The sequence below is a fragment of the Homo sapiens genome, chromosome 9 (genome assembly GCF_000001405.40).
Source record: "Homo sapiens chromosome 9, GRCh38.p14 Primary Assembly".
In the NCBI taxonomy this organism is placed as follows: domain Eukaryota; kingdom Metazoa; phylum Chordata; class Mammalia; order Primates; family Hominidae; genus Homo; species Homo sapiens.
The window spans coordinates 77,456,649-77,484,136 of NC_000009.12; the positions used below are offsets into that span (position 1 = coordinate 77,456,649).

The following is a 27,488-nucleotide window of genomic DNA, read 5'->3' on the forward strand; positions in this document are numbered from 1 at the left end:
GTAACGTATGTTCTTTCTAAAACAGAGTATGAAAAACTAGAGTTGATAAGACACATTCTGAAGGTACATCGCTGATGCCAGCCCACATTCTTTAACCCTACTCCAAAGGATATTATTTATACAATAAATATAATATAGTTATTGGAAAATATTATAGTAAAAATAAATACAATATTTAAAAAATAAATCAGCTAATAATTATTGTCAGAGGTTTACATCCATATCAATATCAATGTGATGTTTATGAAAAAAAATAAACACAGCTGACGAGTTTACGTACTTACCTAGGACCATAAATAGCCTTGACTAGGGACAGCCAGGACTTAGGTTTCATGCCTGTGACTCACTAGGATTCACTGTGACTCACGACGCCACGTAGTGGCAGCTTCCACAATTGCAAGCCCATTAACAGAAGCAAGACCCAGGGTGCTTACTTTATACCTAACACTTACAAAGTTTCAGCCAGAACGACGTAGCTAGGTTTTATCTTGAAGTCTGTTTCAGAGCTAATATGAAGGTAAGAACCCAGGCATTCTGACCCTTTGAGAAAGTGGGAGCGAGAGAGAAAGAGAGAGACAAGGAGAGAGAAAAAGAAAGAGACTGAGTTAGAGTTTAGTGGAAGGCGCATCTTTGCTGCAACTTTTCAAGTTAGTAGAATATTATCACCAACACAAAATGCCCCTTGGGGGTCTATGTTCTATAAATTCGAATTTTATTAGTAGTTCTTTGAAGTACATAAAAATTGACAAGAGAACTTAAGTTGCTTCCTGCAATTATAAAGTGAATGAGTGGTAAAGGGACTAAGCCCAATTGTGTATGCCCGTAAGCTTTCCATAGTACTCCATCAGTGTCTTATAGACAGCTCTGTGTGATGGACCGGCAATGCCCTACCGGAGTGTGAGAAAGCAGCCAAGAGGGCAGCTGATTTCCCTTGCACACAAGGACACATGTGAGGTTGTCCTACTCTTTGCACTGAATTTAACTACATGTTTCCAGCGACCACATTTCCCATTGACATGCCTTTTACTTCATAAGCACCTTCATCCGGGCTATAGACACCCTCACGCCGCCCAGCCTGCTACTCTTAATAAATTTTCAAAATCCTGCTCCAATGATAATTCAAGTCTAGTTTTGTAGTAGTTCTCCCTCAACACCAAAGCTTACAGATTTTTAAATAAAAAGGTCCTCCTTGGCTCACAGAGAATCATCCAACAACATTCCTTGCTCTGCTTTTTTTTTTCTTTTTCTTTTTTCTTGGTGTTTCACTTTTTCCACTCTTTTCAATTGCTTGAAAAACTCTTAAGCACACCAAAACAAACATCTGGGTCACAGCTTGCTTTAATGATGTGCTTTTGAAACGGTGGTTTTAATCCTGGATGCATTTTTGGTTGTTTTCCTTTTGTAGTGATAGCCCACAGGCATTTCTGCCTGGGATCGGGATCATAATGAGGGGAACAGGGCACTCCAGATTTCCCAAGGGCCTGCTTATTAACACCCCAGCCTTGCGCTTCTCAGAGCGTATGTCCTGTCTTTCCTCTAGATGGCACTGTGGAGCAGAGGCGACTGTCTTAGGGACCCGCTTCTTCCTCTATCAGCCATTACCCACTTCTCTGCAGGTGAAACCAGGCCCAAGTGCACAGCTTTGAGGGGGGAAAAGAAAGTCTCCTGGGAACTCTTTGCAGCCTGGGGAGAATGTGGAAGCAGTGGATGTTCTGTCTGGGTAGCAGTGTGGCGGACTAGGAATGCGCTGGCCACGCGCGCCTGAACCTGCAGTGGGTTTCTGATGGATTAGTGACTGGTGAGAAGACCCCATCACAGTAGGGCACAGTTAGCGAAAGTTCCGGATTTAGTTAGCCCAGATATCAAAGTCTCATCAGAATATGGTTGCCAAATAAAAATACAGGACATCAGTTAAATTTGGATTTCGGATAAACAACAAACGCTTTTTTAGTATAAGGATGCCCCACGTATTTGAAGAGAACTTGCACTGAAGTCTCTTCTCAATTTACTGTACTGTTTTCCTAGAGTAAAGATACTAAAGAAATCTGTGCACTTTTGTATCACAGATTGTTTATCAACATCGAGGGCTTTTCTCTGGCTTTCAAAGCAAATTTGGCATTAGCAGGGCTACATCCCGAGGGGACACAGCAGAAATCAGGGCCCATTTATTCCTGAACAGTATCTCTACTGTGCTTTCCAGAGTTCCACAAAGTCCACCTCTCTGCAGAACCTAAGCTCCTTTTATCACAAGCTGGAGGGGGGGGGGTTGTCCTCTTCTCCCCCTTGCCCAAGACTCTAGCCCCACCTCCTCATGGCACTCTGTCACCAACAATAAGTCATCGCCCTCCATCCCTTGCTCATGATAAAAAAGTAAGGGACATGCGCAACAATGAGAATGTACTTAATGCCACTGAATTGTACACTTAAAAATGGCTAAAGTGGCTGGGTGTGGTGGCACGCGCCTGTAATCCCAGCTACTCAGGAGGCTGAGGCACAAGAGTCACTTGAACCCGGGAGGTGGAGGTTGCAGTGAGCTGAGATCACATCACTGCCCTCCAGCCTGGGCGACAGAGTGAGACCCAGTCTCAGGGAAAAAAAAGAAAAAAAAGAAAAAAGGCTAAAATAGCAAATGTTATGTTAGGTATATTTTACCACAATTAAACATAAGGAGCAGGGGGATTGTCTTACTGTAAGATTGCCTGCAGCTCAGCCCAAGCCCAGCCTGCCCTCACCTCAAAGTCTTCTCCAGTGCCCTCCTGCCTGGGTAATCCAAGCAAAATGACGCCTGGCCTCGCCTCCTGTCTGCTTCCATGTGCTCTTTCCTGGGCAGTGTGCAGACCCAGGATGTCTCTTTGCAACTTCCTCCCCAACATACGGCCCCAGGCACCGCCTCTTGCCTCAGGAGACCCCACTGCTCTCAGGTCCTCATCTCCAAGGTCCCACCCGCAAGCTCTTTCCTGAGCTCTCCACTGTCAGTCCCACTTGCAGGGGAGGCTGGGCCTATAATTTCTGCTACTTATAAGCTATTAGCAATGCCTGATCCCTCAACAATTTCATTTTTTATTTTCCAAATGTCAAATGAGCTTCTCAGCAGCCAAGCCTAATAATGTGTCCTTATTTGACCCCAGACTCCCCTGACTTCCAGGTACAAGGCTTTCTCACAGCCCACGGGGCCTAGAAAGTGCCTTATATCCTCCTGGCATCTCTCGCCCACCCTCTGCCAGGCATTCTGTGCCCTGCCCATCCCGCTACCCCACTGTGGCCGGGCAGAGGAGACTGGTTTGTGTCCTTGTGCGGGCACCAATGGGTCTCGTGGATCCCCTATAGCTCCCTGCATTTCTCACGGACAAGTTCATTTCCCTCTCTGCTTTGGTCTCCCTGTTCTTTTTCTCCCATCCTCCAAACCTCCCATCAGAAAAATTCTTCCAAACTCTAGTGAGCTGAATCGTGTCTCCATCAAATTATCTCCTCCTGGAACCTCGGAATTTAACCTTACTTGGAAAGAGGGTCTTCACTGATGTCATTGAAGTACGGATTGAGATGAGGTCACGTTGGATTAGGATGGACCCCAAATCCAATGAGAGTGCCTGTAAGAGACAGAAGAGGACAGAGGGAGACACAGGGCAGAGGCCGACGTGAGGATGGAAGCTGAGATTGCAGTGTTGTGTCCGCAAGCCGAGGAACACCAAGGGTTGCCGGCCACCAGCAGCAGCTGGGAGAGAGGCATGGAAAAGATTCTCCCTTGGAGGCTCCAGGGGGAACCAGCCCTGCCGACACCTTGATTTCTGACTGCTGGCCTCCTGACCTCTGAGAGAATAAAGTTCTGTTGTTCTAAGCCACTCAGTTTGTTAAGACAGCCCCAGGAAATTAATTCATAAACCAACTGGCAAAACTCTGGACAGACGGGGACCAATGACTGAGCCTTGGCTGGGAGGGCGTCTGCAAGCAACTGTGATGGACTAGAATCCCTGCAGGTCCTCACGGGAGCTCCTAGGAAAGAAAGGGCTGTGGGGACGAGTACGCAGGAAGCAAAGAGAAAGAAATGAAGGGGCCAAAAAAGCATCTTTAGCCAGACCTGCCCCCTGACTACGCCTCGGCTATGGGGGATGGAAAGGGTGTGCCCAAGAATGAAAAGAACGAAGTGCATTATCACCATCACAGGCTGTGGGGCGTGGATGGAAGAGCAGGGGCCAGGTCCAGTGTCGTTGACTTTGTTTTTTTGTAAATTGGATTTATTTATAGCACCTCTCCCTTACAGGTCTCACCGAAAAACCAAACCAAATCAACCCAGTGGGATCACAGACGTCAAGGGCTCAGAAAATAAAGTATAAAGTTAGTTTGTTAACCCTAAAGCTGTTCTCTAACTCAATTTATCTAAGGGAGACAGTTCCATTAGCTGTGATAAGTGGCAGATATCCAGCCTTCACTCATGCTGATCAGTCACTGAATGATGGGCCTTCATGAGTCCCAGGTGGGTCCCCAGCAGGCTCTCACCAGGCCCCCGCGGAGGGCTGCAGGGGGTGGCATCCGCGCTGTGAGTGCTGCAAAACTTGGCTGTCCAAAGTGAGCTCCTCAGACCAGCCACAGCACACCAGCATGGGAGCAAGAGAGTTTGCTAACAATGCAGAATCTCGGCTCCCACCCCAGATAATGACTCTGAAGCTGCGCCTTAGCAAGATCCCGGGTAGTTCATTTGCATTATTAACATTGAGAAGCTCTGGAATAAAACATGGGCTTGGGCCTCAACGGTGATTCTTAAAACATCCCTCTAGAACAAAATTATTATATTCTAAAAAGTAAAAAACGGGGCTCAGAAAGCTTGGGCAACTTGCCTGATGTCACACAGCTTGTAAGCAATTGGGTGGGATTCCATTTTTTATTCCAAACTCATTTTCTTAGCCTCGCTCACCATCTTTATCAGAAGGGGTAAATGACAACACGGGGATCCTATACCATGATCCTATATCATAAGGATCAATTAGGAAGTAAATCATCATGGATACAGTCCTTATAGCTTTATACTCACTTTTATTTTAAGGTATTGGCAATATATACCCCCCAAACATGCTTCTCTTAAATCAGCATGCGTTTACTGTTAGAATTTCTTGAATAATAGTATCCCAGCAAACCGTCTTTCCCTAAAAAAGGCCCAGTGCTTTCTGATATTCTCCTGAGCAAGAGTAAAAGCCAAAGAACATATATATTGTGTGCTTTTTAATTCTTGGCACACAATATATAATAAGCACATGCCTTATTGTGCACTTTAAGAATGTATGGATTCCTCTCTTTTATATAATTGCTTTCTACACGCTTTTTTGTTGTTGTTGAGAAACCGCTATTAGGGGTCAAGGCAAGAGGTAGGTGTGTTAAATCACATGGTTGCTACTGAGGGCTTTTAGGCTGAGACCACTTGTCCAGCCTGCATAGACAAGATCTTCTAGGTACGAACGTGAGCTCAGCAGCATGATTAAGGCTTCTCTTGACTACCGAGAAGTAAATTTTATCCGGAAACACGACATTTTCATCAGATGTTCACCAGTCTTTGCCCCGCAGCTCTTTGTCCCTGGGCATGTGTTCAGCCAGACTCGGGCAGCTGTGACTCTCAGACAGGCAGTTCTTTTCCTCTGGGAGCTCCCCGGGGCTCAGGGCAGGTTGCTGGAATACCAGTGAGGGGGGAATCCTGCTGTGGTCACAGGCCCAGTGGCTCTTGCCTGGGAGGCTGACGGTATGCTCCCCCTTTCCTGGTCCTTTCTGCATTCTCCCAACTTTGGTTAGAAATAACTTAGCTCAGGCTGGGCGCAGTGGCTCATGCCTGTAATCCCAGCACTTTGGGAGGCTGAGGCGGGTGGACACGAGGTCAGGAGTTCAAGACCAGCCTGGCCAAACTGGTGAAACCCTATCTCTACTAAAAATACAAAAATTAGATGCTGGGCATGGTGGTGGGTGCCTGTAATCCCGGCTACTCGGGAGGCTGAGGCAGGAGAATCACTTCAACCTGGGAGGTGGAGGTTGCAGTGAGCTGAGACAGAGCCACTGCACTCCAGCCTGGGTGACAGAGCAAGACTCCATCTCGGGGCGGGGGGTGGGGGGGTGGGAAAAGGAATGACTCAGCTTATCCTTTCTGCCCCTCGATCCCTGACTCTGTCATCTCCCTCACCACCATCCCTGCCTCACCTTTTCGGGTTCAGGGAGAACTGGCAGCTTTAAACTTCTCCCCAGGGTCCCCAGATGCCCAGTCACCAAGTTCCTCCACTAGATCTGCTGCACTTAGTCTTCCCTGTGGGGCTCCGTGCCTCTCCAGCAGAGGAGTAACCCACTGGAGTTCTCTCTTCTAAGATGTCTCCAACCCAAGGGTAATAAACAACTCGAGGGTAATAAACAACTTGGGTTGGCAGCACAGATTAGGAGAGGGGGTGTCAGATCACTAAGCTCTGATCTTGATCCTCTGCTGCGAATGCGAAGGGCACCATTTCCAAATACAGAGTCCTACTGCATCCCCATTGGATTTCAGAGCAAAAGTGACAGTGGAATGTGGGACTGTAAAAACTCCCACACCAGTAAGTAGACCTCCTTTGCTCTCTGGATGAGGAAAGATACTAGGAGTCGCCATCACAATCAGATGCGGCAACAGTGCATCTCAAACAGCTGACACACTTCAGGCAATGCCAATAATAATTCTCTACTCAAGACAGCCAAGAACCAGAGCTGCTCATAAAAAGCTTGGAATCAGTGGATGTCACTTAAAAAAAGAAAAAAACCAATGTTGTATTATATGTGGACCAGTCAGTTCTCAGACAGATGCTAACCTTTGCTTTTAAAAATCTCCCAGCCCGGGGTAGGACCAAGGCCAAGGGGATTAAATCTAAGAAAATGGACCTTTATCCTTAACCTTTAGTTTTTAACTTCAGCCAAACATTTCTGTCATTTAGAAAGTGTGATTAACTTTCAGATAAGTGTTTTTGTTTCTTCAGCAAAGAACACATGTAGTTTCTCAACCAGTATCAGCAGCAATGAGAAATGCCTCAAAAATAATTATTTGGCTTCCATTTCAGGAGTGGCTGGTGGCAGAATCATGCCAGGTTCAATAGGTCAATACCCCAGGAACCCCCACCAAGGACAGGAAATATTGGGATAGGAGAGCAGCTTGGAAGTTGGACAGAACCAGGCTGATGGCTGAAATTTAGAAAGAATCCTGGGGCTGTCTGGCTTTATGTGGGTAAAAGTGCATGTATGGATTCCTCTCTCTTATGTAATTGCTTTTTATATCAGCAAAGAAAAGAAAGAGAAATATATAGTTATACTGCCTTTTATCATTACTTACATAATTACCTTAGCTGGAACTGGTTTGTTGTTGTTGTTTTTGTTTTTTTGAGACAGGGTCTCGCTTTGTTGCCCAGGTTGGAGTGGAGTGGTGTAATCTCAGGTCACTGCAACCTCAGCCTCCTGGGCTCAAGTCATTGCCCTACCTCAGCCTCCAGAACAGCTGGGACTATAGGTCCTTGCCACCAAGTCCGGCTAATTTTTATATGTTTTGTAGAGATGGGGTCTTGCCATGTTGTCCAAGCTGGTCTTGAACTCCTGGCCTCAGGCAATCCACCCACCTCAGGCTCCCAAAGTCCTGGGATTACAGGCATGAGCCACCATGCCCGGCCATGTGTGTATGTGAGAGTGTGTGTATATATATGTGTGTGTGTGTGTGTATATGTGTGTGTGTGTGTGTGTGTGTGTGTGTGTGTGTGTGTGTTTAAATGTGGATTTGAATTACCTTTTAGCGTCACTAACTTTTAACGTGAAGACCATCTTTAAGTATTTCTTTTTAAGATGGGCTTCTAGCCACAAAGTCCATTTTTTTCTTTCTTAATCTAGGGATATTCTTATTTCTATTTCATTTTTAAAAACATTTTTTTTGAGATACAATTCCCATACCACACAATTCATCCATTCAAAACACACAAGTCAATGGTTTTTAGAATATCCAACGAGTCATGCCACCATCATTATGATCAATGTTAGAACATTTTAATCACCCCTCCAGAAAACCGCCGTACCTATTAGGATTCTATGGGTTGAATTACATCCCTGCTAAAAGATATGTTGAAATCTGAATCCCCAGTACTGGTGAATGTGACCTTATTTGGAAATAGGATCTTTTCAGATGTAATCAAGTTAAGATGAGGTCACTTGGGTAGGCCTTATTCTAATACAAGCAGTGTTTTTTTAAGAAGAGGGAAACTTGGACATGGACACACAGAGAGGAGAATGCCGTGTGAAGCCAGACACAGACACAGAGGGAAGATGGAGGCAGAGATTGGGGGTTACATGGCCACAAGCCAGGAAACTCCTGGGATGCCAGAAGTTGAAAGAGGGAGGGAAGAAGCCTCTCCTATAGGCTTTGGAGGGAGGATGGCTCTGCCAACACCTTGATTTTGGACTTCTAGCTTCCAGAACTATGAAAGAATACATTTCTGTTGTTTTAAGCCACCTAATTTGTGGTACTGTGTGATAGCAGCCAGATACTCCCCATTTACTCCCCCTTTTCCTAGCCCTGGGCAGCCAATAAGACAACCTCTGTCTCTATGAATTTGCCTATTCTGGATGTTTTCTATGTCGGACACCACACAATATGGAATCCATTGGGATTGGCTTCTTTCCCTTAGCTTAATGTTTTCCAGGTTCCTCCCTGCTGTAGGGCATGTACTTCATCTCTTTTTATTGCCAAATAATATTCCATTGTAGGAAAATACCACATTTATTTATCTCCTCCTTCGTTGAGGCCATTTGGACTTTTTTACACTTTTTGGCTATGAGCATTCATATACAAGTTTTTGTGCGGCTGTGTGTTTTCATTTCTTTTGGGTATACGCCTAGGAGTAGAATTGCTGCGTAATTCTATGTTGAAGTTTTTGAAAGGACTGACAAACTATTCTAAAGCAGTTGCCCCATTTTTTATTCCCACCATCACCAATGTATGAGAGTTGCCTTCATTTTCAAAACATAGCTTTCTACCTTTGCTTGATATAGGATTTTTTTTTTTGAGGCCTCAGCCTTCTAAGCTCAAGCAATCCTCCCACCTCAGCCTCCCAAGTAGGTGGGAACACGGGTGCATGCCACCACACCAGGCCAATTGTTAAAATGTTTTATACAGACGGGGTCTTGCCGTGTTGCCCAGGCTGGTCTTGACCTCCTGGGCTCAAGCAGTCCTCCCACCTTGGCCTCCCAAAATGCTGAGATTACAGGCATGTGCCACCAGGCTGGGTAATATAAGATTGTTGATTGACTTTTTTCATTGCCTCTGGCTTCTATTTTTCCAGTGGGAATTCTGCTATTAATTTGATCAGGGTTCCCTTGTGCATAATGAGTAGTTTATCTCTTGCCTCTTTCAAGATTTCTCTTTCACTTTGACTTTCAACAGTTCGACTATAATGTGTCTGGGTGAATGCATATGGCTTTCTTTGCATTGATCCCACTTAGATTTCATGGAGGTCCTTGGATGCTTCGATTAGTGTTTTTCATCAAATCTGGCAGGTTTTCAGCCATTATGACAGAATATTTTTTTCTATTCCTTTCTCTGGTCTTGTCCTGCATTCCATATGCAAATATTGGGGTGCTAAATGGTGCCCCATGTTGATCTGAGACCATGCTTCCTTTTCTTTCTTCTTTCTGTTCTTTAGAATGCATAATCTCTCGTTATCTCTCTTTAAGTTCACACCGATTTTTTCCTCTGTTAGCTCAAATCTACTACGGAGCCTTTCTAGCAAGTTTTTAAGTTCAGGGTTGTACACTTCAACTTCAAAATTTCCATTTGGTTCATTTTTATAATTTCTATTTCTATGTATTCAGTCATTGTTGTCATTCTGTTGCTTAATTCTTTAAACATGGTTTTCTTTAGTTCTTTGAATATATTCATAATAGCTGCTTTGAAGTTTTTGTTTGCAAAGTTCAACCTCTGGGGCCTTCCAAGCCTGTTTTTTGTTTGTTTGTTTGTTTGTTTCCCTTTCCTGTGCATAGGTCACACTTTGTTATTTGTTTGCATGACTTAGAGCTTTCTTTTGAGAGCTGGACACTTTAGATAATACATGGTAGCAACTCTGTGTACTGATCCTTCCCTCCCTCTTCTCCCTCCCGTCTGAGTTTGTTGTTTGGTCATTTGTTTGTTCGTTTAGGGACTCTGTGTGACTAACTCTGTGATGTCTATTTTCCCGACCACATGGAGCCTCTGAAGTCTCTGCTTGGGTGTTTCTCCCCTTCACTTCCTAGAGGCTGGCCCCTGAGTCAGCATAAACCACTTTTTGGTCAAAGGTTGTGCTTAAGCCCTCTCAGCCAGTTAGGGTTTTTTTGCCTTTTACCACTCGGTGTGTGTGTGTGTGTGTGTGTGTGTGTGTGTGTGTGTCTTGGAGACTGCTTTCACATTTCAGGGAGTTTACAGTTTTGCTCCATGTTCAGCCAGGGACTAGTAGCTCAGAGTTACTAGTTAAAGAGCGTCTCTTTCTGGGCACTCCTGAGGGGGTGCAGAGTGGGGCAGGTGCCCAGCTGTTCAGATCACCAGGATGAGTGTAATTTTTTAAAGTCCGGATTCCTAGGAGTCACCTCTGGGTCAGAGTAGCTTGCTGAGCTGGGGTTTTGCTCTGAGGTCATGCTTATGCCCTTTGAGTCTTCTCCCAAAGTCTTCCAATAAATCTACATGTTACTGATAGATCTATGTGGCTTGGAGAATGCTTTCCAGTCTAACCCATGACCCTCTCTGATTGTTCCTGAGTGAATACAGCCTTGTGTACACCACGCTTCTGGAGCCCTTGGGGTGAACATCATCTCAGGAAGGGTATTCTGGGCTGTCTCTTTCCAATCTGCCATGTTGCATGTGGCTACTAGATTCATGGAGCTACCAGCCCCCACCCCTTAATTGCTCACCACCAACATGTCTACTGTGAATGAACTTAGGCAAGAAATGCTTCATGCTGCTTTCCAATAAAGTTACTCCTCTGGCAGAACTGCGGAGCTCTCCTTTTTTTTTTTTTTTTTTAAGACTAGTCAAGTGCAATGGAGCTCTCCATTCCCATTCTTCTGACAACCTGCATCTCCCTTTAGATAGAACACCCATGCCACTACACCAGAGCTGGGAGCAGGGACAGTGGCCCACTTCTGCAGTGAAACTTATGCTCTACAAGTGGGTACTGTGTGTTAGGGTGGGGGAGGGAAAAAGTTAATAGTACTTGGTTTTCTTTTCTTGCCCCCTCTTGGCATAAAATTTTCATCCATTAAAGCACACTCAGGGGCCCCAGATTTGTCTTGACCTATCTATGTCTGAATCAAAGCCCTTGACCCACAAGTAAGCTCTAAGTGGGGAAAAGATCTTCTCAGCCACACTTGCCTAAAATAGCACTTCCACAACTCAGGGCTAGAGGGTATGAGATACACTGGCAGCGTGCCCCTCTCAGAGGGGTCCTAGACTAGGAGCTGGGGAGTGGAGAGAAGCAGCCCCCATCTTCTTGGCCACATCTTCCTGGATAGAGCTTCTATCACATGGACATGGGGGCAGGGGCATGAGAATGAGTCATGGCTCAAATGCTACCAACTCTTAATGCTCTTACTGGCATATAGTAGATTTTCTTGAATAAATGTTTTTCCATTTGCTGTATGCTTTTAGGACAATTTCTAGAGGCTTCGAATAGTTGTTTATAATTTTTACCAGTTAAATGGCTGTTTCACTGGAGAGAGGGTCTACCAAAACCCTCACACTGCCATTCTGAAGGTCTGAAATCTTTCCTTTTAATCAGACATACACAGGTCGATTTAATTCTCTTTTTGGTCACTGTCTAAAACATCCTTCAAGATCTGAAGTGGCCATCCTGTCCCTTGTGTTGTGTTTGCTATATAGAGTAGACATTTCTAATATTTATTAATATTTCAAGACTTTCTCTCTTTCCAGGAATGTGGGACTATTATCTTCCCCTGTGCTTCTTGAAGTTGGTGTGACTGTGATCTGATTTGGTCGACATAATGTGAGAAGTCTGTCACTTCCAAGCAGCATCATTTAATTGCTGCTGCGTGCTTCTCTATCTTCTCTTCTCTGTTGCAACAAATCCTGGAGCCTTGTGACGATCATAAAATGGGAACATCTTTGTTATCCCAGGTCCTGCACGGTAACTGTGTGAAGCACAGCCCTCACCCCTCTGGCTGGACATGTTGCGTGAGCAAGAAATAAATCTTAGTTGTTCTAGGTCACTGAGACTTGAGTATTGCTTGCTTCTCCAGCATATCCTAGCCCATCTCAACCATTAAGAATGCTGTTCTTAAAACTCTCAACACATGCAGCACATTTTTGTGAATTTCAGCAGCCCTTAGCTAAAGTCAGTTTCATCTTTTGATGTGTGTATAAGATCTACATTCCTTAGCACGTCCACAAGGTGCTGCATGATTTGTACCCTGCCAACCTGTTAGTCTCAGGTCCCTGTAGGATGCTTTACCTCCTCATTTCCTCTTTTATAATATAGAGCTGCATGAGGCTCTCACCCCCATAAGTACTATCAGTTCCCTCTCTTCCTTCTTATGAGACCTATCATTCATCCATCCAGACTTAGCATGTGCCCTATCTTAGGGACAAGGAAAGCTGGGAGAGGAGGGTGGGGTGAAGAGAGAGAATAAATGAAGTATTGCATTCATATATAAATTGTTTTGCAAGAGGGAGGGCCCAGAATTAGTCCTAGGATAAACTGTGTTAAAAAAAAAAAAAAAAAAAAAAAGAACTTTCCAGACAAATTAATGTAAGAATCAATTGTAGTTTTATACACTACTGTTATTGTTTGTGTCACCCTAAAATTAATTAAGACAAATTGCTTACAAGCACATATCAAAGTTTTATACTCTCTGCAAGAAAAGACTGACAACCAAAAAAAAAAAAAGTCTGGTTAAAGATTATGATTAATCAGTCAGTTGGGTGGACAACCCTAACTTCCCAGAAGTTCTTAATCATATAGGAGTATCAAAAAATCGCCCAAGCATTTAATCAGGAATGTGAATTACTTCCCAGAAAGAGACTGTGCATTACATCATACAGAAAGCTCTGCTGCAGACCAGGTTTGGACAATTTTTCTTTCACAGAAGGCTATAAAGAGACAGTCTTGGCATGGTTGGTTCTGGTTCACTCATCAGTTTTCAGCATTCCTGGGTTTTGTTTTCACTCATTCAAACCTGTATTGAATACCTATCAGGTGACTAGATGCTGATGTTGTAAAGATAAAAAGAAAGCCTCTGCTCCTTTGGGAATGATGGACACGTGCATACATAATTTTGTAAAAAAGCAAAACTGTACCTTGGTATGTTTGGAAGGCCGTATGAGTGATGCTGAGGAAGCAGATCTGCTTGGACTCATAGTGACATCAGGGAAAAGGAGGAGTACAGAATATGCTTAAAGATGAAATACTTCTGTTTTGGACAGCAAGGAGTTATCAGGGCATCCAGTAACCTCCCCATCCTCTGGAGGCGGAGAATGCTCACGGGTACAGAATAGTCATGGCATGTTCAGGATGTTCACTGAACCTCTGGGTGGGGAGGACTGGGGTGGAGAGACAGTGGCCTGTGGGGCTAAGAAATCTGGATGGAGTCCTCAGGACATGGGCTGACACCAGGTCATACCAGGAAAAGCAGCACCCATCAGGTGCTTTGGAGAGTATCTCCAATTAGAAAACAATAGGAAGAGAAGAATAGGAGGCTGGAAGATAAATAAAGGTGACTATAACAGCACAGGTGAGAAATGATCAGGCTCTGATCCAATCCAGTAGCAATGTGAACCATGGTGACGGTAGAATACTCTGTCATGGATTCAGTCAACATCTGTTTCCTTTCAAAGAGCTTATAGCAGATTGGGGTATTAACATATCCACAAACACAACTAATTTATAACACAGAAAGTGGTGAATGCCTATGAAAGCTATAGCTAAAGTGCTACAGAGGATTAGAAAGTACATTAGAATACTATAATTGGAGAGATCAGGAAAGGTTTCAAAGAGAAGGTCACTGTTCTCACATAACTATGAAGAACTACATGAGACTGGGTAATTTGTAAAGAAAAGAGGTTGAATTGACTCATAATTCCACAGGCTGTACAAGAAGCATGGCTGGGAGGCTTCAGGAGACTTACAATCATGGCAGAAAGAGAAGGGGAAGCAAGCACGTTTTACCATGGCAGCAGGAGAGAAAGAGAGAGCCAAGGGAGAAGTGCCACACACTTTTAAACCATCAGATCTCAGGAGAATTCACTCACTTTCACAAGAACAGCAAGGGGGAAATCTGCCCCCATGATCCAGTCACCTCCCACCAGGTCCCTCCCCAACATTGGGAGTTACAATTCAATATGAGATTTGGGTGGGGACACAGAGTCAAACCATATCAATCACCTTTGAGATGAGTTAAGAGAGCAATAGGATGAATGCTGAGATGGGTTGGGCGTTCAAAACTGGAGGGATGGATAAGCAAAGATCTGGGAGTAAGAATGTGAAGGGACAATACTGGAAGGTATTAGGTTCAGCCCTACCAGGAAATTACATGGAAAAGAAACGCTGGGGCCAATTAAGGAGAACTTTGCATGCTATGGAATCTGGGCTCAATTTTAAAAGTAATGTGGAGCTACTGAGGTTGTATGGGCAGGGGAGTGATGAGATCAGGACAGTGCTTGAAGGTTGGTCTTGCAACAAATTAACATTGAAGAAACTGATGAATAGGGGCCTCCCTAAAATCTGGGCACTTTATGTGGGTGGACAGCCCAAGAATGCAGGGGCTGGGAAGTGTGAGCAAATTTGAGAGGGGCAACATGACCCATTAAAGACTGGATAAAGGAAGCATGGGAGAGGAAGGTACCAACATTAAATAAACTTGAAAGACTGATAAGAAAGATAACAGCATCATTATGAGAAGGTGAAAATCACAGAGGAAGAGCAATCTGAGCAGGGACAGTGGGTGAGGAGCTTGCTACATGTGTTTGGGGTGCCTGTGATACGTTTTACGGGAGATATTCAGAAGGGTAGTTGAGAACGCAGGAGAAAAGTTAGTGCTAGGCCTGAGACTGGAAAGCAATCATCAAAGTCACTCACTACAGTCATGCAGGAGTCAGGATGAACTATCCACACAGTCTATGCATAATACCACACCTGGTGTTTAAGGACTTATAAAGGTCATAAAAAGCTGTTTGTTTGTCCTCAAATATAAGGGGAGCAGAAGGTACACACCCAGAACATTATTATGAGCAGGTATAAACAAATATACAAAAGATAAAATATGTATTAACTGCATCAGTAAGTAAGAAGCAGCCTATTGGGGTTGTTTGGAGTCTGTTTCCCCATGGAATCACCACATTAATAACAATATTACTACAGGCTAATTCTCTTGGAGTTATATTTGTCTTTTTCTGAAATTTGACAAAGTGCTGAATCTGGCAGTGCTTGTCCAAGTAAAACCAACTCCATACAGCTTTGCACCAGCTCTGTCACTAAGCCCCCAAAATGATTTAGAGATAAAATACCCTTGGAAATCTGTGCACTACGACTTCTGATAAAGTGTCATACTTTGGAAAATGGACGACAGCATATCAGCACTTTCTTTGCTAAGATGTTTTAACATGTCATCAGGGGAAGGTGTATTAAGCGGAACCATGATGCTATCACTTTCAAAAAACTCCTCTCTGTTCCCTGAATCTTTCATGGCATGGACTCAATGATATGATGGAAAACTGCATTTCTGAGCCCTCATCTTCCAAAAAGAAATGTCCTGGAGGTTCTAGCCAGGACAATTAGGCAATAAAAAGAAATAAAAGGCATCCAGAGAAAAAGGGAAGAATTAAAATGATCTCTATCTGCAGAATTTGTGGTCCAGCATATAGAAAATCCTAAGAAATACATTTTTGAAATATTAGAGCTAATAAATAAGCTCAGCAAAGACACAGGATACAAGATCAATGTAAGAATCAATTGTAGTTTTATACACTACTGTTATTGTGTCACCCTAAAATTAAAATGTTGAAGCCCTAAGCCCTAATGTGATGCTTTTGGAGGTAAGCCTTCGAGAGGCAGTTAGGTTTAGATGAAGTCATGAGAGTGGTGCCGTCACGATGGGATTAGTTTCCTTATAAGAGGAAGAGACATGACATGATCTCTCTCTCTCTCTCTCTCTCTCTCTCTCCTCCAAGCCCACACACAAAGAAGAGGTCATGTGAACCATCTGCAAGCCAGGAAGAGGGCCCTCACTAAGAACAGAATCTTCTGGTAACTTGATCTTGGACTTCCCAGCCTCCAGAACTGTGAAAAATAAATGTCTGTTGTATAAGTCACCCAGTTAATGGCATTTTGCTATAGCAGCCTGAACTGACTAAAACAACTAGTAATCAACATTCCAAAAATGAAATTAAGAAAACAATTCCATTTAGAACAGCATCAAAGAGGAATAAAATACTTGGGAATAAACTTAACACAAAAGAAGTACAAAACTTGTACAATGAAAACTACAAACAATTGTTGGAAGAAATTAAAGAAGACTGTGCATGAGCACAATTGCTCATGCCTGTAATCCCAATACTTTGGGAGGCTAAGGCAGGCAGATGGCTTGAGCTCAGAACTTCAAGACCAGCCTGGGCAACATGGAAAAAACCCATCTCTACAAAAAATACAAAAATTAGCTGGGTGTGGTGGTGTGCCCCTGTAGTCCCAGCTACTTGGGAGGCTAAAGTGGGAGGATGGTTTAATCCAGGAGGTGAAGGTTGCAGTGAATCAAGATCATGCCACTGCACTCAAGCCTGAGTGACAGAGCCTGACCCTGTCTCAAAACAAATACAAAAACAAAGGAAATTAAAGAAGATATAAATGAATGGAAAAACATCCCACATTCATGAATCTGGAGACTTAATATTGTTAAGATGGTAACACTCCCCAACCTGATCTACATATTCAATACAATCTCTATTAAAATTTCACCTGGATTTTTTTTTTTTTTTTTTTGGCAGAAATTGACAAGCTAATGTTAAAATCCATATGGGAATGTAAGAAAACCAGAATAGCCAAAACAAGGTTTTTTCAAAACCTTGAAAAAGAAGGACAAAGTTGGGAGACTCACGCTCCCTGATTTTAAAACTTACTACAAAGCTATTGTAATCAAAACAGTGTGGTACTGGCATAAGGATAGACATTTAGGATAATGGAATTGAGAGTCCAGAAATAAGCCCTCAAATTTATAGTCAACTGATTTTATTACAAAGGTGCCAAGCTAATTCAATGGGAAAAGATTGTTCCATTGAATTGTACTGGGGCAACTGGATATTCACATGCAAAAGAATGAAACTGGATCCCTACCTCATAAAATATACAAAAATTAACTCAAAATAGATCATTTATCTAAACTGAAGAGCTAAAACTATAAAACTCTTAGAAGTAACATAGGCATAAATCTTTTTGACCTTTGGTTAGGCAGTGGATTATGAGATATGACACCAAAAGGGAAGCAACAAAAGAAAAAACCGATAAGTTGGACTACATCAAAATTAAAAACTTTTATACTTTAAGGAACACTTGTCAAAAAAGTAAAAAGACAACACATAGAATGGGAGAAAATGTTTGTAAATCATGTATTTAATAAGGGACTTCTATTCAGAATGAAGAACGCTTACAACTCAGTAAGAAAAGAATAAGAATGCAATTTTAAAATGAAAAAAATTTGATTAGGCATTTCTACAAAGAAGATACACAAATGGCTGACAAGCACTTGTTATCCATGACAAGCCTCATTATCCATCCAGGAAACACAAATCAAAACCACAAAGCGATACCAGCAACACACAATGGGATTACTGTCACCAAAAAGATAGACAATAACAAGCACTGGTGAGGATGTGGAGAAACTGTAACCCTCATACATGGGTGAGACTATAAAATCATGTGGCCACTTTGAAAAATAGTTTGACATTTCCTCACCTAGTTAAGCATAATTACTAAATGGCCCAGCAGTTCCACTCCTAGGCATATACCCAAGAGAACTGAAGACAAATGTCTACACAAAAACCTGTTCATGAATTTTCACTGCAGCATTATTCATAATAGCCAAAAAGTGGAAACAACACAATACCCATACTGATGTATGGATAAACAAAACATGACTGTTGGATCACATTGAAATATGATTTGGCAATTAAAAGTAAATGAATTACTGATACAGGTTACAAAGTAGATAAGCCTTAAGAACATTATGCTAAGTGAAAAAATCCAGTCACGAATGGCCACATATTACATGATTCCATTTATATGAAATGTCCAGAATGGTCAAATTCATAGAGACATAAACCGGATTAGTTGTCACCTAGGACTGGGAGGTCATGGAAATAGGAGCATGATGGCTTAATGGGTCCAGTGTTTCTTTTATGGGGGACATAAAATTTTGTGATCCACACCCAAGTTGGCTGGCAGCTGTTTGTGTTGAAACAAGCCCAGAGGCAATGAAGAGACAACTCATCTATATTGCTTCCGTCACTCAGTGATGGAAATTCACATAATAATGGAATGCCACAATGAGAACAGGTCTGACATGGAAGACAAACTATTGATATAAACCCTCTTCTCCAGTGTGGCTATACAAGGGAATTTGTTCAACTGGTAATCACCTACGCCCACAGTCAGGCTGTGGGTATATAATGACAAGCAGAAATAGTTGCTATGGTTAAGAAAACATGGTCACTAGGATCAGAACTTGAAAAGGCTTAGTTGGATGACAGGGCTTGTGACATTAAAGCAAAATGACAACACCTGTCCTTGAGTAGTTATTGTACATTACCTAAAATGTATCCTGGGGATGAATGTGGGGCTTAGGCCCTAGGAGAATGGCTCTGGTCCTTCGGTAAAACAGTAGAGAGAGCTGGGGGAATCTGGCTGTGAAGGCAGTAAGTGGTCTGGCTCCAGAGGAGGGTCTGAGAACTGAGCATGGACCCTTCCTTCCCTCCTTGCTCCCCTCTCCTCTAAATCTCACCACTCCTCTTCGTTCTTTCTAGAGCATCCTCCCAGGGAAAGATCAGGTTGAGATAAGCAATCATCTAGGGCACAAAATTTAAGGGGACCGGACATGCATTCTTGGGTCTCTGCACAAACCCCGTGCACCTAGGAGAGCATATGCTGCCCTTGTTCAACAGACATATCTGGAAAGGAGACCTACGTGGGCTCTAGAAGCTGCTCGATGCTGTGGGTTGGGGTGTTGGGGTTCTGGGGTACCCAAAGATAGAGGGATGCAGGCATGGTGGGCATATCCCCTTAGCCCCCTAAAATTGTCACCTCAGTAGGTAGGACACAGCAGGAGCAGGCCTAAGTGTGCCCTTGAGCTTAGACTTCTGATGACTAAATTGGCTTGGCAGAAATACATGTGACTAAGAAATGCAAAAAGAGATGCTCTGCATTATAAGTAATTTGGGAAATTGGAATTCAAACAACAACAATAACTTAGCTTAGATGGGTTTAAACAGGGGAGGGATGTGGTCAGAATGCTTTAGAAATGAAAGAATCTAGTCCTTAAAGTAGCACCCAACTTCCTGGGGAAATGATTCAGATTTTAGATTTTCTAAAATACTGAAATGACAAAATCACACCAACAAGATTGCCTCTCTTGGTACGTTAAAATAGCACAGAATATCAGAGTACTGAAAACCCAGCATCGCCATCTCTAGGTAATGAGGGGGAGGCGCCCTGAGAGCAGGAAATGACATCTTCATCTCTGGGGAGGCCACAGAGCACAGCAGAGCAGCTGGCTCATTGTTGTCTTCTGAATGAACAAAATCAGAATACCAGTTCACACACAGAATCGTAAAGCTCCCACACAGGAGTGTAGAGGGTCCACATATAGAAACATTTGCTGTATAATTGAAGATTATCTGTGTCAGGGAGGCAGTGTGAAAAGAATAAGGGCCATACTGCCTCTTACAACTGGTGACTTCAACACATATGCTCTCTCCTGAAGGCTTAATAAAATGATAGGATAGTAGTTTGTTTGTTTAAAGGCAAGTCCTATAAACTGAAAAGGATAAAATGAATTGGAACTATTGTGGAGGAGTAACAAGAAAATTTGAGAAAATGGAAAAGAGATGCAGATGAGTGAGTACATAGCACTTAACAGGAGAGAAAGCTGAAACCTTGTATCTCTTGGGGAGAAACCCAAAAGAAGTCAGTGGGTTCATACCTGGGAACATTTCAAGGCTCCTTCTGGGTTAAAGGCCCACCATTTAGAAAGGTGGTGGTGTTCCTCAAGGCAGTGGGGTTGGCTCAGGGAAAGACTGCATGAGTAACAGCTGAGTTTCCACCCTTCACAATCATTCCACCTTGTCAGGATTCTGTAATTTGCTCCCTCAGCCAGAAGACATACAGGCACCAAGTATAGTTTAAGGAGGAAGGTGCATTTTGAAACCAGGTATGGGCCAGGCACGGTAGCTCTCACGTGTAATCCCAGCACTTTCGGAGGCTGAGGCAGGTGGATTGCTTGAGGCCAGGAGCTCGAGACGAGCCGAGGCAACATGGCGAAACCCTGTCTCTACTAAAAATACAAAAATTAGCCGGGTGTGCTGGCGTGCACCAGTACTCAGGAGGCTGTGGTGGGAGGATTGCTTGAGCCCAGAAGGCAGAGGTTGCAGTGAACTGAGATCCTGCAACTGCATTCCAGCCTGGGTGACACAGCAAGATCATGTCTCAGAAAAAGAAAAGGAAAAAAAGAAAGAAAACAGATATGTTAAGTAAAAGTCCATGTACTGAATCCTGAGCCCTCCAGCCCCATTCCCCTGCTGAGAATATGGCAGCCAGAGTTGAAATCAGAACATTCCTCAAAAACAGACCTGCTCAGGAGAAAAAGCCTAACTAATAATTACAGGCATTTGAAGTCTCATAATAGGCCACCATCTAATCACCCACCCATAGCACAGAACTTCCTATCCTCTTTTATAGTGCCTTGCTTCTAAGAAAGAAGGAACAGTCAAAGTTAGCAGGCAGTTAAAGACATTCTCCAAAATAAAACAGAAAGGAAGATACGAAGAAAATGAAGCTATTTGAGGGAAGCAGTGACACTGTAGAAAACAGAAGAAGAATGTTATAAAACTTATAATTATTATCTCCAAGAATCAGAGAAAAATCTTGGAAACAAGAACAGAGTCCCATAAAAAAGGAAGAATTGGAGAACAAAGAGAACATTTTAAAAGTTCAAAAGACAGGTGAGGAAAATTGAAGAAATTCCTTCAACAGAATAAAAAGAGAAAAATGCAGAAATTGAAATAAAATAATAAGAAAATTAAAGAACTATCCAGGCAGTGTAATAGCGATCTGATGGGAGTTTAGAAAGCAAGAACACAGAAAACAGAATGAGAGACCTTTTTAAAGGTGTCTTTTTTTTTTTTAAACTTTAAGTTTTAGGGTACATATGCATAATGTGCAGGGTTTTTACATATTTATATATGTGCCATGTTGGTGTGCTGCACCCATTAACTCGTCATTTAGCATTAGGTATATCTCCTAATGCTATCCCTCCCTCCTCCCCCCACCCCACAACAGTCCCCGGAGTGTGATGTTCCCCTTCCTGTGTCCATGTGTTCGCATTGTTCAATTCCCACCTATGAGTGAGAACATGCGGTGTTTGGTTTTTTGTCCTTGTGATAGTTTACTGAGAATGATGATTTCCAATTTCATCCATGTCCCTACAAAGGACATGAACTCAACATTTTTTATGGCTGCATAGTATTCCATGGAGTATATGTGCCACATTTTCTTAATCCAGTCTATCGTTGTTGGACATTTGGGTTGGTTCCAAGTCTTTGCTATTGTGAATAGTGCCGCAATAAACATACATGTGCATGTGTCTTTATAGCAGCATGATTTATAATCCTTTGGGTATATACCCAGTAATGGGATGGCTGGGTCAAATGGTATTTCTAGTTCTAGATCCCTGAGGAATCGCCACACTGACTTCCACAATGGTTGAACTAGTTTAGAGTCCCACCAACAGTATAAAAGTGTTCCTATTTCTCCACATCCTCTCCAGCACCTGTTGTTTCCTGACTTTTTAATGATTGCCATTCTAACTGGTGTGAGATGGTATCTCATTGTGGTTTTGATTTGCATTTCTCTGATGGCCAGTGATGATGAGCATTTTTTTATGTGTCTTTTGGCTGCATTAATGTCTTTTTTTGAGAAGTGTCTGTTCATATCCTTTGCCCATTTTTGATGGGGTTGTTTGTTTTTTTCTTGTAAATTTGTTGGAGTTCATTGTAGATTCTGGATATTAGCCCTTTGTCAGATGAGTAGGTTGAGAAAATTTTCTCCCATTCTGTAGGTTGCCTGTTCACTCTGATGGTAGTTTCTTTTGCTGTGCAGAAGCTCTTTAATTAGATCCCATTTGTCAATTTTGGCTTTTGTTGCCATTGCTTTTGGTGTTTTAGACATGAAGTCCTTGCCCATGCCTATGTCCTGAATGGTACTGCCTAGGTTTTCTTCTAGGGTTTTTATGGTTTTAGGTCTAACATTTAAGTCTTTAATCCATGTTGAATTAATTTTTGTATAAGGTGTAAGGAAGGGATCCAGTTTCAGCTTTCTACATATGGCGAGCCAGTTTTCCCAGCACCATTTGTTAAACAGGAAATCCTTTCCCCATTGCTTGTTTTTGTCAGGTTTGTCAAAGATCAGATGGTTGTAGATATGCGGCATTATTTCTGAGGGCTCTGTTCTGTTCCATTGATCTATATCTCTGTTTTGGTACCAGTACCATGCTGTTTTGGTTACTGTAGCCTTGTAGTATAGTTTGAAGTCAGGTAGCATGATGCCTCCAGCTTTGTTCTTTTGGCTTAGGATTGACTTGGTGATGCGGGCTCTTTTTTGGTTCCATATGAACTTTAAAGTAGTTTTATCCAATTCTTTGAAGAAAGTCATTGGTAGCTTGATGGGGATGGCATTGAATCTATAAATTACCTTGGGCAGTATGGCCATTTTCACGACCTTGGGCAGTATGGCCATTTTCACGACACTGATTCTTCCTACTCATGAACATGGAATGTTCTTCCATTTGTTTGTATTCTCTTTTATTTCATTGAGCAGTGGTTTGTGGTTCTCCTTGAAGATGTCCTTCACATCCCTTGTAAGTTGGATTCCTAGGTATTTTATTCTCTTTGAAGCAATTGTGAATGGGAGTTCACTCATGATTTGGCTCTCTGTTTGTCTGTTATTGGTGTATAAGAATGCTTGTGATTTTTGTACATTGATTTTGTATCCTGAGACTTTGCTGAAGTTGCTTATCAGCTTAAGGAGATTTTGGGCTGAAATGATGGGGTTTTCTAGGTATACAATCATGTCATCTGCAAACAGGGACAATTTGACTTCCTCTTTTCCAAATTGCATACCCTTTATTTCCTTCTCCTGCCTGATTGCCCTGGCCAGAACTTCCAACACTATATTGAATAGGAGTGGTGAGAGAGGGCATCCCTGTCTTGTGCCAGTTTTCAAAGGGAATGCTTCCAGTTTTTGCCCATTCAGTATGATATTGGCTGTGGGTTTGTCATAGATAGCTCTTATTATTTTGAGATATGTCCGATCACAACCTAGTTTATTGAGAGTTTTTAGCATGAAGGGTTGTTGAATTTTGTCTAAGGCCTTTTCTGCATCTATTGAGATAATCATGTGGTTTTTGTCTTTGGTTCTGTTTATATGCTGGATTATGTTTATTGATTTGCATATGCTGAACCAGCCTTGCATCCCAGGGATGAAGCCCACTTGATCATGGTGGATAAGCTTTTTGATGTGCTGCTGGATTCGGTTTGCCAGTATTTTATTGAGGATTTTTGCATCAATGTTCATCAAGGATATTCATCTAAAATTCTTTTTGGTTGTGTCTCTGCCAGGCTTTGGTATCAGGATGATGCTGGCCTCATAAAATGAGTTAGGGAGGGTTCCCTCTTTTTCTATTGATGGGAATAGTTTCAGAAGGAATGGTACCAGCTCCTCCTTGTACATCTGGTAGAATTCGGCTGTGAATCCATCTGGTCCTGGCTTTTTTTGGTTGGTAAGCTATTGATTATTGCCACAATTTCAGAGTCTGTTATTGGTCTATTCAGAGATTCAACTTCCTCCTGGTTTAGTCTTGGGAGGGTGTATGTGTTGAGGAATTTATCCATTTCTTCTAGATTTTCTAGTTTATTTGCATAGAGGTGTTTGTAGTATTCTCTGATGGTAGTTTGTATTTCTGTGGGATCAGTGGTGATATTCCCTTTATCATTTTTTTATTGCGTCTATTTGATTCTTCTCTCTTTTCTTCTTTATTAGTCTTGCTAGTGGTCTATCAATTTTGTTGATCTTTTCAAAAAATCAGCTCCTGGATTCATTAATTTTTTGAAGGGTTTTTTGTGTCTCTATTTCCTTCAGTTCTGCTCTGATTTTAGTTATTTCTTGCCTTCTGCTAGCTTTTGAATGTGTTTGTTCTTGCTTTTCTAGTTCTTTTAATTGTGATGTTAGGGTGTCAATTTTGGATCTTTCCTGCTTTCTCTTGTGGGCATTTAGTGCTATAAATTTCCCTCTACTCACTGCTTTGAATGTGTCCCAGAGATTCTGGTGTGTTGTGTCTTTGTTCTCATTGGTTTCAAAGAACATCTTTATTTCTGCCTTCATTTTGTTATGTATCCAGTAGTCACTCAGGAGCAGGTTGTTCAGTTTCCTTGTAGTTGAGCGGTTTTAAGTGAGTTTCTTAATCCTGAGTTCTAGTTTGATTGCACTATGGTCTGAGAGACAGTTTGTTATAATTTCTGTTCTTTTACATTTGCTGAGGAGTGCTTTACTTCCAACTCTGTGGTCAATTTTGGAATAATTGTGGTGTGGTGCTGAAAAAAATGTATATTCTGTTGATTTGGGGTGGAGAGTTCTGTAGATGTCTATTAGGTCTGCTTGGTGCAGAGGTGAGTTCAATTCCTGGGTATCCTTGTTAACTTTCTGTCTCATTGATCTGTCTAATGTTGACAGTGGGGTGTTAAAGTCTCCCATTATTATTGTGTGGAAGTCTAAGTCTCTTTGTAGGTCACTCAGGACTTGCTTTATGAATCTGGGTGCTCCTGTATTGGGTGCATATATATTTAGGATAGTTAGCTCTTCTTGTTGAATTGATCCCTTTACCATTATGTAATGGCCTTCTTTGTCTCTTTTCATCTTTGTTGGTTTAAAGTCTGTTTTATCAGAGACTAGGATTGCAACTCCTGCCTTTTTCTGTTTTCCATTTGCTTGGTAGATCTTCCTCCATCCTTTTTTTTTGAGCCTATGTATGTCCCTGCATGTGAGATGGGTTTCCTGAATACAGCACACTGATGGGTCTTGACTCTTTATCCAATTTGCCAGTCTGTGTCTTTTAATTGGAGCATTTAGCCCATTTACATTTAAAGTTAATACTGTTATGTGTGAATTTGGTCCTGTCATTATGATGTTAGTTGGTTATTTTGCTCATTAGTTGATGCAGTTTCTTCCTAGCCTTGATCGTCTTTACATTTTGGCATGTTTTTGCAGTGGCTGGTACCAGTTGTTCCTTTCCATGTTTAGTGCTTCCTTCAGGAGCTCTTTTAGGGCAGGCCTGGTGGTGACAAAATCTCTCAGCATTTGCTTGTCTGTAAAGGATTTTATTTCTCCTTCACTTATGAAGCTTAGTTTGGCTGGATAAAAGAAAAGAATTCTGGGTTGAAAATTCTTTTCTTTAAGAATGTTGAATATTGGTCCCCACTCTCTTCTGGCTTGTAGAGTTTCTGTCGAGAGATCTCTCTTAGTCTGATGGGCTTCCCTTTGTGGGTAACCCGACCTTTCTCTCTGGCTGCCCTTAACATTTTTTCCTTCCTTTCAACTTTGGTGAATCTGACAATTAAGTGTCTTGGAGTTGCTCGTCTTGAAGAGTATCTTTGTGGAGTTCTCTGTATTTCCTGAATCTGAATGTTGGCCTGCCTTGCTAGATTGGGGAAGTTCTCCTGGATAATATCCTGCAGAGTGTTTTCCAACTTGGTTCCATTCTCCCTGTCACTTTCAGGTACACCAATCAGACCTAGATTTGGTCTTTTCACATAGTCCCATATTTCTTGGAGGCTTTGTTCATTTCTTTTTATTCTTTTTTCTCTAAACTTCTCTTCTTGCTTCATTTCATTCATTTCGTCTTCCATCACTGATACCCTTTTTTCCAATTGATTGCATCAGCTCCTGAGGCTTCTGCATCCTTCACGTCGTTCTTGAGCCTTGGCTTTCAGCTCCATCAGGTCCTTTAAGGACTTCTCTGCATTGGTTATTCTAGTTATCCATTCGTCTAATTTTTTTTCAAAGTTTTTAACTTCTTTGCCATTGGTTTGAATTTCCTTCTGTAGCTCAGAGTAGTTTGATCGTCTGAAGCCTTCTTCTCTCAACTCATCAAAGTCATTCTCCGTGCAGCTTTGTTCCATTGCTGGGAGGAGCTGCGTTCCTTTGGAGGAGGAGAGGTGCTCTGCTTTTTAGAGTTTCCAGTTTTTCTGCTCTGTTTTTTCCCCATCTTTGTGGTTTTATCTACTTTTGGTCTTTGATGATGGTGACGTACAGATGGGTTTTTGGTGTGGATGTCCTTTCTGTTTGTTAGTTTTCCTTCTAACAGACAGGACGCTCAGCTGCAGGTCTGTTGGAGTTTGTTAGAGGTCCACTCCAGACCCTGTTTGCCTGGGCATCAGGAGCAGTGGCTGCCGAACAGCGGTGGCTGTAGAACAGCGGATATGGGTGACCTGCAAATGCTGCTGCCTGATCGTTCCTCTGGAAGTTTTGTGTCAGAGGAGTACCCGGCCGTGTGAGGTGTCAGTCTGCCCGTAATAGGGGGTGCCTCCCAGTTAGGCTGCTCAGGGGTCAGGGATCCACTTGAGGAGGCAGTCTGCCCGTTCTCAGATCTCCAGCTGCATGCTGGGAGAACCACTACTCTCTTCAAAGCTGTCACACAGGGACATTTAAGTCTGCAGAGGTTACTGCTGTCTTTTTGTTTGTCTGTGCCCTGCCCCCAGAGGTGGAGCCTACAGAGGCAGGCTGGCCTCCTTTAAAGGAGTCTTATATGAAAATTCCCAGAACTAAAGCACATAAATCTTTGGACTGAAAGAGCTCTGGAGGACCCAGCATAATGAATGGGAAATAACCCACCTCAATAACCGTAGGGATAAAATGAAGGTATGACATTCTTTGAGAAAAAGAGAATATATAAGGAATGTAGAATTAGAATGACATTAGATTTTTCAAAAAACAAACACAAAATAAAAGATAGTAATGCTTTCAAAATCAGAGTGAGAATGACTTTCAAACTAGAATTCAATACCCAGACAAATATTGATCAAGTCTAAGGGCAGAATAAGACATTTAAGACATTCAAGAATACAAAACAATTTCTCTCCCATGCCCCTTTTCTTTGGAGAACATGAAAGGATGTGCTCCAGGTAAACACAGAATCAGAAAGAAGAAGAAATAACAACTGGAACACAG

At 42.4% G+C, this 27,488-nt stretch overlaps 1 protein-coding gene and 2 long non-coding RNA genes across 3 annotated transcripts in view; 2 read left to right on the plus strand and 1 right to left on the minus strand.

Moving 5' to 3' along the window:
* The window catches only part of GNA14 (G protein subunit alpha 14), a 225,244-nt gene that overhangs the window by 33,570 nt on the left and 164,186 nt on the right, over positions 1–27,488 (minus strand). The window lies entirely within an intron of this gene.
* The window catches only part of GNA14-AS1 (GNA14 antisense RNA 1), a 79,114-nt gene that overhangs the window by 9,000 nt on the left and 42,626 nt on the right, over positions 1–27,488 (plus strand). The gene's annotated exons all lie outside the window — the stretch shown is intronic.
* Positions 435–12,222, plus strand: LOC124902185 (uncharacterized). The gene is made up of 2 exons (XR_007061598.1): positions 435–517; positions 11,927–12,222. It is a non-coding gene; the product is annotated as an uncharacterized LOC124902185 (long non-coding RNA).